Raw genomic sequence first — 10,677 nt, forward strand, 5'->3', positions numbered from 1 at the left:
TGAGGGTGGTGGCCCTGGGCTGGATGGAGGAGGGAGAGCACTGGTGTGTACATGGACAGGAGGCTAAGAAGAAGAATCTGTGTTATTTACTCTGAAAGTGATGACAATGATCTCGTGGTCCAGAATGCATTGTCCCTTGGAGCCCCCAGTAAGAATAACATAATTCACTTTTATAGCATCACATTTTATACAAACTATTTTGTTGGTGAAGAAAAACGTCTCATCTGACATGATTGCAGGGGAACTCTCCTTGTGTTCTTTCTCTCCCTTGCCCCTAATATTCTTGCGCCCATCTATAAGAGCACATAAAATGTGTGGTATGCAGGATGGTAATGAGATGGCAGACTTTTTCTAACATCAGAATTTCAATAAGGATGAAATTTGCCTCCAAAAGAGGACAGTGATCTTTTCACAAACACTGTCCTTTGTCCTGAGGCACACAAAATCCCCAAATCCCTAAAATATTTCATCTGAAGGTAAGATAATTTTGCTCTAGCTTAGGCTGAAAAAGAAAGAAGGGGGAAAAGCCATCTATCAGATGCAGCCAGAAAAGTCCTGTTGCTTAGGGAGAAGGTAAATTAAAGGCTCCTATCTTATCTGTATTTCAATTAAAATCTTATTTTTGGTCCCCGGCAGTGCAATCCGTTGAAGTCTTTCCAAGTTAAAAAAAAAAAAAATGCCATTTCAGTAGGTGGACGTTAAAGAAATCTTTAATGGGTATGTTCTACATGTGATATGGGCTACTTTTCATGTGGGGGAGAAATGACATGAACAATATTTTGAAAGAGATGAAATTTATAAAAGTCAGAAGGGCAATGGATGCATTACCCTGGTGAATTCTTTCTCACAGGGTCTTTTTATTCACTGAACCCCATTTGAATATCTGCTAACCCACCCCCAATACTTAAGAAATTATAGCTAAAGAGGTTGGGGAAGGAGATCCAGGAAAGGGAGTTAGGAACTGTCTGAATATCTCGTTATCAAAATCCTTTTGAGGCACCGAGTTCAGGACTGGGATTATCACAACAAAGCAGGCAAAAAGAAAGAAGCCAGTATTCAGATTAGACCCTGCTACCCATGTGAGTAACTCTTATTGAAACAGCTTAGTAGAACCCAATGAATAAGACCTAGTGCTTCATGCCAAATTATAGACTAAATCGGGAATCAAATAATAAATAGACCAATCAACCAATCAATCAATACAATTAAATGCAAAAAAAAAAATATAAACTAGGTTCCAAAGTAAAAATAAGGCAATTGTAAAAAGTGAGATTTATGTCAGCCATCAAGGAAACACTATTGAGTAATTTGTATGTCCACAGCATTGTGCTGTATAATCCTTGGGGGGTAAGGATGGAGATGTGATAAAGGAGTGATATGGCTTGTCTCTGTGTTCCCACCCAAATCTCATCTTGAACTGTAATTCCCACATGTCTAGGGAGGGACCTGGTGGGAAGTGATTGGATCATGGGGGCAGATTTCCCCCTTGCTGTTCTTGTGATAGTGAGTGAGTTCTCATGAGATCTGGTGGTTGATAAATGTCTTATGCATCCCCTGCCCTCATTCTCTGCCCTGCCACCATGTAAGATGTGCCTTGCTACCCCTTCACCTTCTGCCATGATTGTAAGTTTCCTGAGGCCTCCCAAGCCATGTGGAACTGTGAGTCAATTAAGCCCCTTTTCTTTATAAATTACCCAGTCTCAGGTATTTCTTTATAGCAGTATGAAAACGAACTAATATAAAGAGTATGTTCCAGAGTGAAGGGAGGAGGTGTAGGTTCTATTGCTAGCTTTGCTACAAATGACCAAGACAAAGGTCAGTAAACTTTTTCTGTGAAGGACTAGATAGTAAATATTTCAGGCTTTGCAGACCATATGGTGCCTCTTGCAACTACTCAAGTCTGCTGCTGTAGTATGAAAGCCACCGTGGACAATATGTAAATGAATGGGCATGACTGCATTCCAATAAAATTTTCTTTATGGACATTGAGATTTGAATTTTTTACATGTCAGAAAATATTATTCGTTTTTCCCAATCATTAAAACATATAAAAACCACTCTTAACTCACAGATGATACACAGAGAGACAGTGGCCAGATTTAGCCTCTTGGTGATAGATCAGCCAAACACTGATCAAGATGATACCTCAATACCACCATAAGGTGGTCAGGTTCACTACTGAAGAAGTGATTTAGATAGTGCAAGGTGTGAATTGTGAGAGCACCTTAAGTACTGGAGTTCCAAGAGAAAGCATCAGCAGGACTACTGTTGGGACAATTAGGCTGCATGGGGGAGGAGAGAGGCTGTGGCTCATTTGTTAGCTAGAAATGTTATCAGAGGGAGTGATGGGCTAACAATAATAACGTAGTATGTTATCTTACTGAGCCAACATTTACTGAGCACTTACCCAAAGCCAGGCACTGTTCTACACATCCTTCCAATTCTTTAAGCTTTACGTCAATGGAAAGATATAGGTGTTTTTTCTACCACAACACTGCAAATGGGGAAACTGAGGTCAGGGGAGTAAACTAACTTGTGAGAGGGCACAGAGCTGATAAGTGATAGATCCAGAAAACACTAGAGCTGGGAATTTGGAAAATGCCATGTAGAAGTACAGACCTGGAACTCAGGGGTCAAATTGTCTGAGCTCCTATCGGGCCTTCACCCCTTGCCAGCTCCAGGAACCAGCTTCCTAAACTCTGAGCCTCACGTTCCTCCTCTGTGAGACAGAACAATCATTGAATCTACTTTCTAACGTGAGATTGAGAAATAATCAAACTTATGGCTCATAACTAGTGACCAATAAATATTGGTTAATACTACCATTAACTATAAATTGTCCTAAGTCTTTTCAAACACATTTGAATGTGGAGCTATTAGTACAGTATATTCTTTGCTTCGAAATTCCCTCAGTCTGACTTTGATTCCTCTGAATCTGTTCTTTGTATCAGGATTTGGCAAATGAGGCCATAGTCCCTCCATTTATAAATTCATAAATATTATGATATTGTAAACAGCAGGGAAAAGTCCTGAGGACGTTTTTAGACAGCCCCTGGAAAAGCCCCAGGAGTGCGCATGTTGTCCCAGACTCTGTTGGGTCTGGAAACATAAGCAACAACGGCACTGCTGATTGAATGCAGATTCGATGGGCTCCAAGGGACCTGGAGGCGAATCTCACCTGACCCCTGCCTTCGAGGAGGGCGACATGCAAATCACTCCCACCAGCATTCTGGGTGCGTACACAGCCAGTCCCTCAGGTGTCTCATCCTGAGGAAGACCCATATGATCAGCTCAGCAGACTCCATCTTGTTTTATGAACATCCCTAATTATTTTAGACAATGGGATTTTCAAATTTTGAGGATTTTCTTTTCTTTCCAGTAGTTCTTGATTTTAAAATCAAGATCAGATCCTACGATCCCATATTCCAAGTGCTCACATCCTAATAATTTCTGGAGATTTCATGATCTTTAGAACAAGTTCAAATCTCAAACTGTTTTTTTTTCCCCTGACGTTCAGGATCTTTCAAACTCTCATTCTTCTATTTATACAACAGAAATTTATCAGTTTTTATTTCTATCTTTCAATACTTTTACAAAGCACAGGATCTAGCATCTCTGAAATTGGGATGTACCTTAAAATCAATGGCATACTTCCAGGACACATTCTCAACACTGTATGCCAAGGAGCACTGATGACACAGTGGACACAGCCTGCATGCATGTGTACATCAGAGGACCTACATTGCAACTTGCAGATTCTCAGAGATAATGGTAACCTGGACATAATGGTAACCAAGATTTAAGGGCACAGAATGTTTTTTAACCCCCTGGACTCAAACAGTTGTGGGAAGTGGTGAACCAGTTGGGTTTATCAACATTCCCAAATAGGAGTCAAAAATAGGCCCGCTGTCCATAATTGCAAAGCCAACTTAATTGTCTGGCTTCAATAACCTTTGTTCTTTGGTGCATTCTTTTAAGCAACACTGCATCATCATCATTCTTGATGGCAGAAAAACAAACACTCTATGGAACCAACACAGACTCCAACTGCCAAAGTGACTCAAGAAAGTTGCAACCTGTGAACGAGTTTTAAGACTATTAAGACCGTACCTTCCTTTTGATCACAAGAATTATATATAATGAAGCTCTACGTCTACTTAAATCTAAAGGATTTCTTTTGTAAGTGTAAAATACAATTTCTAAGTAATAATAAAGAATTGTGCTGTGGTTTTATTATCAATGTTATTTTTTTCTTTTTTATTGGTAGTACTGAAGATATTGTTTCATCTTACAATTGATGATATCTTAGATTCAATAAAATATGGTTGTGTGCTAATCACAGACCATACTGGGATCAGAGACACCGAAGAACAGAGATAGCCCTTGCTGTAAGGACTCAGAATCTGCTAAAATGATATCAGCCCCCAGGTCCTCTAGGTATGATTTCCTTGGACTATCCCTTCCGTATTGATGCACATTTACTTATCCTTCAAGACCCAGGTTAAATAACATCTCCAAAGAGATATTTTCCCAGATAGTGCATCATCTCTCATTCTCTGCAGAAATAACAACTTCTTCCTTGGCACCTCTATAATGTTTTTATTATAGTCGTGGGCACTGGAGCCAGGCACCTTGGTTTAAATCCTGGCACATCCTTTTGCTACTTCTGTGGCCTTAGGCAAGATAATTAGGTACACCGAGCCTCAGTATCTTCATTTATATTGTGGATCTATATCTCATTCTCATCTCAGATAACTATTTTAAGGATTAAATGCATTAATATGGGTAAGGCACTTAGAAGAGTATCTAGCATAAAGTAAGCAGATTTGACCATTATCACGCCACAGTGTCAGCCTTGATCCCACTGTAATTTGGTTCATTGTGATGTGGGTCTGCATGTAAGCTCCTGGAGGCTGAAATGATGCCTGCTGTCAGCTTCATTTCTTTCTCTGCAGAGAGTACGGCATTTGGCTCAAAGGACAGAGTCGTTCATTAAGCCCATCCACAAACATTTGCTAAACACCTAGTACACATTAGCAATTGTTCTAAGCTCTAATAATAAAGCTCTTAAAAATATATGTGGAATGAATGAGCTAATAATTATTCACTTTACAAATAGTGGTGTGATAGCCAGAAAACACACCAAGCACTTGGGATGCATGAACTCTGCACGTGATCTCTGTCATGTTTTGTGTATTTTGCATAATGTTTATTTGTTTAAACCAATAAATACTTTCCTAAAATTACAACCACCACACCTGATAGCATGGTCTTGTAGACTGCTGTCTGGTTCAACTTAACTCCCCTAAGGGGCTATCTCTGACTCATCAGGGATCATGCCTCTTTGTAATGTTAAAAGTCTCCACATGGAGTCTGCCGGAGTTAGATTCCAAATGTTTCAACTTCAGCTGTTCACTACTCTCCCTCTGCTCTCCGAGTTGTCTCAGCTATGAACCTTGTCTCCAGCCTGTACTCTTTCTCAATACTTCCAAGCTGACATAGGCTCAATTTCTTTTTTGGTTGTGTTTTTGTTTCTCTATCTCAGCCCTTCTTCCTTGCTATAAACCAAATGTTTGTGTTCCTGCAAGTTCATATGTTGAAATCCTAACCCCCAATGAGAGAATATTCGGAGGGAGGGGGGACTTTGGGAGGAGATTAAGTCATGAGGGCAGAGCCTTCAAGAATGAGATTATCAAAGAGACCTCAGAGAGCTTGTTTGCCCAATTTGCCATGTGAGGATACAGTTAGAAGACGGCCATCTATGAACCAGGAAACAGGCCCCCATCAGACACTGAAAGTGCCAGTACTTTGATCTTGAACTTCTCAGGCTGCAGAACTGTGAGCAATAGATTGCTGTCCTTTATAGACCTCCGATTATAGACCTCCCAGTCTATGGTATTCTGTTATAGCAGCCTGAATGGACTAAGACAATCCCAAGCATAACTTTCTAGATAACATTTGCCTTCCCTCATAGGCAACCTCCCCAGTTTCTCCTCACCTGACAGCAGCTGCAGAAAGGTGATGTGTAGCTGCAGGTGCTGCTCACCTATTATTTCCTAGTCTCCAACTTCTGGGCACAGGGTAAGTCTGTTTCAGGAACTCTGTAACAGCTTTGGCCAATGTGTTGTGAACTAAGGAAATATGGCTCACTTCCAGGTAAAGCATTTGTTTGCATGTGAAGACCCTTCAGTTCTCTGTAGCCTTCTGACCTGGTGATAAGAATAGTCATCACGCTGAGTTTTGGAGTGAGAAGTCAAGGAATAGAACCCCGTTGACCTCATGATGGACTTGGGGCATGAGAAAGGAATAATGATCAGATGCTATTAGTGATTAATATCTGGGAGTTTCCTAATACTGCTGCAGAGTGGATACAATTGTCCAGACTGCTAAGGGCCGACAACATTTTCTACATCCTTAAGCTCTATTTCCTTTTGGCTCATTATAACGACACATTAACTGTTCACGTACTGTGGATGAAATCCATGTGACATTTTTGGTAAAACCTCAGCCAAACATTTTCAGGTCTCTCTGTGTGTATCCTATGGAAGATGGCCTGTGTTGCCAAGTTGTATGCTGATGAACCAGTACTGGCATTTATTACAATTGAAAAGTAGCAGAAAGCTGTCTAATAAAACTTCTATTGTTTAGTGAACAGGGCTGGAATTAGGTAATGGTGGCAGGCACATTATAAGCAATTGTGCTTGATGCAGGGTTCACTTAGATTCATTTGTGGCATGGAGTCATTTCCAAATGCCAGTCTCCACTCTGTGTGCAGTACCAGCATCTAATATTTCTAAACATATTTCGGCTCAGTGACACCTTAATGGTATACAATAACACTCGGCGTCCCTCTTAGAAAAATGGATACTCTCATTTCTCTAAACATTGGGCCTTTACCTTTAACCATTTCCATTTAAATGCAAATTTCAATCATGTCCACCTTTCTTGTTCCAACATGAGCATACATGTTGGAAATGATAGCAGCTTGAATCCAAATTTCAAGAGGCTGGGAGCTGCTTCCTACAGGAGTCCTAGACAAGTTTAAATGGTTATTTTTTGTGTGGCTTCATGTTGCTGAGATTAGGCTCTAAGGGAGTATTTTGCCTTTATTGGGAGGAGTGGCTAAGTCAGAAGAAGGAAGGACGGCTTTCAGAGCAGGAGACAGACACAGGGATGGATGTCCCAGAAGTGAGTAACACCTTAATGGACCCTGGCTTATAATCTTAGACATGGACCCCCAAAGACAGAATTCAGGGCCCAGGGCATCCTCAAGGGCTTTGATGTACAATGACTGCACTGAGTTTTCCTTCCTGAGGGCGGTCTTAGTTTCTCAGCATATAACCTCTGTCATTGTCATCAAGTCCTGAGTTAACGAGTTCATGCTCCCTGGCCTGATCCATCCTACCTTATCTATAGACAGGATTTTGGGGTCCAGGTCAGGCTAGACCAGGAGAACAGCCTTGCTAACAGTAGGGGAAGAAGGGGTCTGCACAACCTTGGAAGGCACTGGAAGGGAAGGGGTTTACTGGGCTAAGTCCTTAGGAGGGCAAAGACGGGGAGTGACAGGCCTTCAGGGTACCACCCAGTGAGAGTGCCAGGACTCAGTGATGAGGGCTTGTGGACTTCAGAAGCTTCTAGAAGTTTGTCTTTTCAAAGAAAGAACACTAGTTCAGGATCTAGACTGCATGGGTTCAAATCAGGCAATTTCATTTCCCAGATGTGGGACCATGAACAAGGCTGTTTACTTGGGTCTGAGTTTTTGCAAACACAGAGCCAAAAAAAACAGTAGTTACACTCATGGAGCCGTACCAAGGACAAATATGCTAATGAGGCAGGCACATAGCTTAGAACAGTGTTTGCTCCCCTGCAAGTGTGCAGGGAAATTTGGGTAGGATCCAGTGCAGAGGATGAGGGGGCAAGAGGTCATGGTATTTGCCCTTCTCCTTTGTCACCTGGTGGCCTGAAAGATTTCCTCATGTTCAGCAGTGAAATCCTTCAAGCTGAAAGGCCTTCCCTTGGGATGGAAAACGGATCAAAGAGAAACTGTTGTTACAAAGGCCTGAGTTGTCCTGAGATCAGAGAAAGGCCCTTGAGGAAGCATATCTAACAGGAGAAGGACACAGGCTTACTGTTGAAAGCAAAGAAGAAAAGGGAGGTTGTGGAGCGACCAAGCCCTAGATTGAGGCTTGGTCCTGATGGTTGCTATTTACAAACTGCATGATGTTGTTATCATGAACTGATATAATATTATTTAACATTCTCTTCCCAATTGGGAAGGTGAGACGTGACTCACTAAAAACTCCAGAGTGGCTGTAGTTTGCGTTAATAAAAAAATGAGGTCAAAGCCAAGACAGGTGGATCCCTGAGCAGTGCTGGTTAAACAGCTCTGAGGTTTATCTTTGCTTCAGGGCTATGCCCTTGAACAGGAGTAGAAGCAAAATATGAGAAGACCTCAGAGGAGCCTGTCTACAATCAGAGAGGATGCATCAGGCCATGTCCTGTGAGACGGAAGGGAAGGGAGGATGGAGGGCAAAGCCTCCTAAACAGCCTCTTTCTGGAAGATTCGCCTTATGGTAAGCAGCCAAGAGTGGCAGAACTGAGCACACTGGGAGGATTAAAGGGCTGGGAAGGCAAGATTTTCCCATAATCTGGATTTCGTATCAAGATCAAAGAGGCTGTCTACCAGTGATGAACACCCCTTCAACAGAGAGATGCAAGGTGCTTCCTGATTTACATAGGAGACGATTGAGGTGGATATTGGGTTGCTAATGGGATCAAGATTCTCAGATTGCCTCCCCGAGAGAAGTTTCCTGCTTCTGTATATGTCAGGGACTAAGGAATTGCCATGAAAATGTTATTCCCTTAACAGCCAGCAAAGGGAGCTTCTTATTCTAAAGGCAGTCAGATGTGTTCTTCCCTTCTAAAGAAAGACTTGAATGTTGGAGTCAGAGATGCAGGGAGATGGTGGTAAAAGAAAGAGGAGCTCACTGCTCTGGCACCAAACGGGTTCAGCAATACTTGTCATGTATCCGGGACCTCCCTGGAGGAGGAGAAATGACTTCTACAGCCTCCACTGGAACTGGGCCGAGGCTGTGTGAGGAAGTGAGCATGAAACCTGTGATCTGTCACTCGCACAGCCAGTTCATTTTTTATCAAGACAAGGCATTGTAGAAGCTTTCTGAAGAGTGGATTTGTGGCTGAGTGCAGTGGCTCACATCTGTAATCCCAGCATTTTGTGCGGCAGAGGCAGGTGGATCCTTTGAGCACAGGAGTCTGAGACCAGCCTGGGCAACATGGAGAAACCCAGTCTCTTAGAAAAAAATACAAAAAAATAGCTAGGTGTGGTGGCACGTGCCTGTAGTCCCAGCTACTGAGGAGGCGGAGGTGTGAGGATGGCTTGAGCCTGGGAGGCAGAGGTTTGCAATGAGCCTAGATCACACCACTTCACTCCAACCTGGGCAATAGAACCAGACTCTATCTAAAAGAAAAAGTCTTGGGCCAGGTGCGGTGGCTCACGCCTGTAATCCCTGCACTTTGGGAGGCCGAGGCGGGCAGATCAGGAGGTCAGGAGATCGAGACCATCCTGGCTAACACAGTGAAACACTGTCTCTACTAAATATACAAAAAATTAGCTGGGCGTGGTGGCCGTCGCCTGTAGTCCCAGCTACTTGGGAGGCTGAGGCAGGAAAATGGCATGAACCTGGAAGGTGGAGCTTGCAGTGAGCCGAGATCGTGCCACTGCACTCCAGCCTGGGTGATAGAGCGAGACTCCGTCTCAAAAAAAAAAAAAGGAAAGAAAAGAAAAGAAAAAAAAAGACTTGCTTGGAAAACTTGCCTCAGATATGGGAAGATGGAGTGAGTTGTAGGGAGGCTAAACAGGTGGGAAGAGGTGAAAGGTCAGGCAGGATACAGACTGACATGTGACTTGCAGTTGGGGGTAGTTTGACCATCTTACAAAATCAGCCTTCTATTTCAGTTTCTTTGCTCAGTCATTTATTAGCTTAGAATGGGAGAAATTAGCCTATGGGCATATTGATTTCTTTGTCTGTAAAATGGGGATATCAACACTTGGCCCAGTTGATAATCCTGAGAATTAAAGGAGAAAAGGGATAGGAAAAAGTCTAACAGAACCTGGAACCTGATGAGTCTTCACCGAGTGCTATTTTCTGGAACTACATTTAGCCTGGGCTCCCTAAGATCTGTGGCATGCACTTTTCTCTGCATTTCCTTCATCAGATGATTCCCATGAGAACTAAAGCTCAGAGAGGGTAAGTGATTTGTTCAAAGGCACACAGTTGAAAAGAAGCTGCTTTAAGTGAAAGCTGCTGGCCTGGAGGCCTGTCCACCTGAAATTTGTATTCTCTGCTCCACTGGCCCCAAGCTCTCTTTAAAGAGCTCTCCTGATAAAGAGATCAAGACTCAAAGGCAGCAGCCCATTTTGTACTTGGAAGGATGGCCTAGGACTCTTCCTGAAGCTCCTAGCCATTTACCTTGGGACAGGGGTGAGAATGAGTGAAGCTGCTGATTTACTGTTGGGCACAGGTGCTGATGTCAATGAGAAACACCATGCAATGCTGAGATTCAGGAATCCTGGATTCCAGATAAATTAATCTATTGCAGCATTTTCCAAAATTTGTTCTATTAAACTTGTTCTTTAAATGAAAAGTAACTTGCATT

At 42.6% G+C, this 10,677-nt stretch overlaps 1 long non-coding RNA gene across 1 annotated transcript in view; it reads right to left on the bottom strand.

Moving 5' to 3' along the window:
• Nucleotides 1–10,677, bottom strand: part of LINC02291 (long intergenic non-protein coding RNA 2291) — a 54,012-nt gene that overhangs the window by 17,330 nt on the left and 26,005 nt on the right. The gene's annotated exons all lie outside the window — the stretch shown is intronic.

The sequence above is a fragment of the Homo sapiens genome, chromosome 14 (assembly GCF_000001405.40).
Source record: "Homo sapiens chromosome 14, GRCh38.p14 Primary Assembly".
Lineage (NCBI taxonomy): Eukaryota > Metazoa > Chordata > Mammalia > Primates > Hominidae > Homo > Homo sapiens.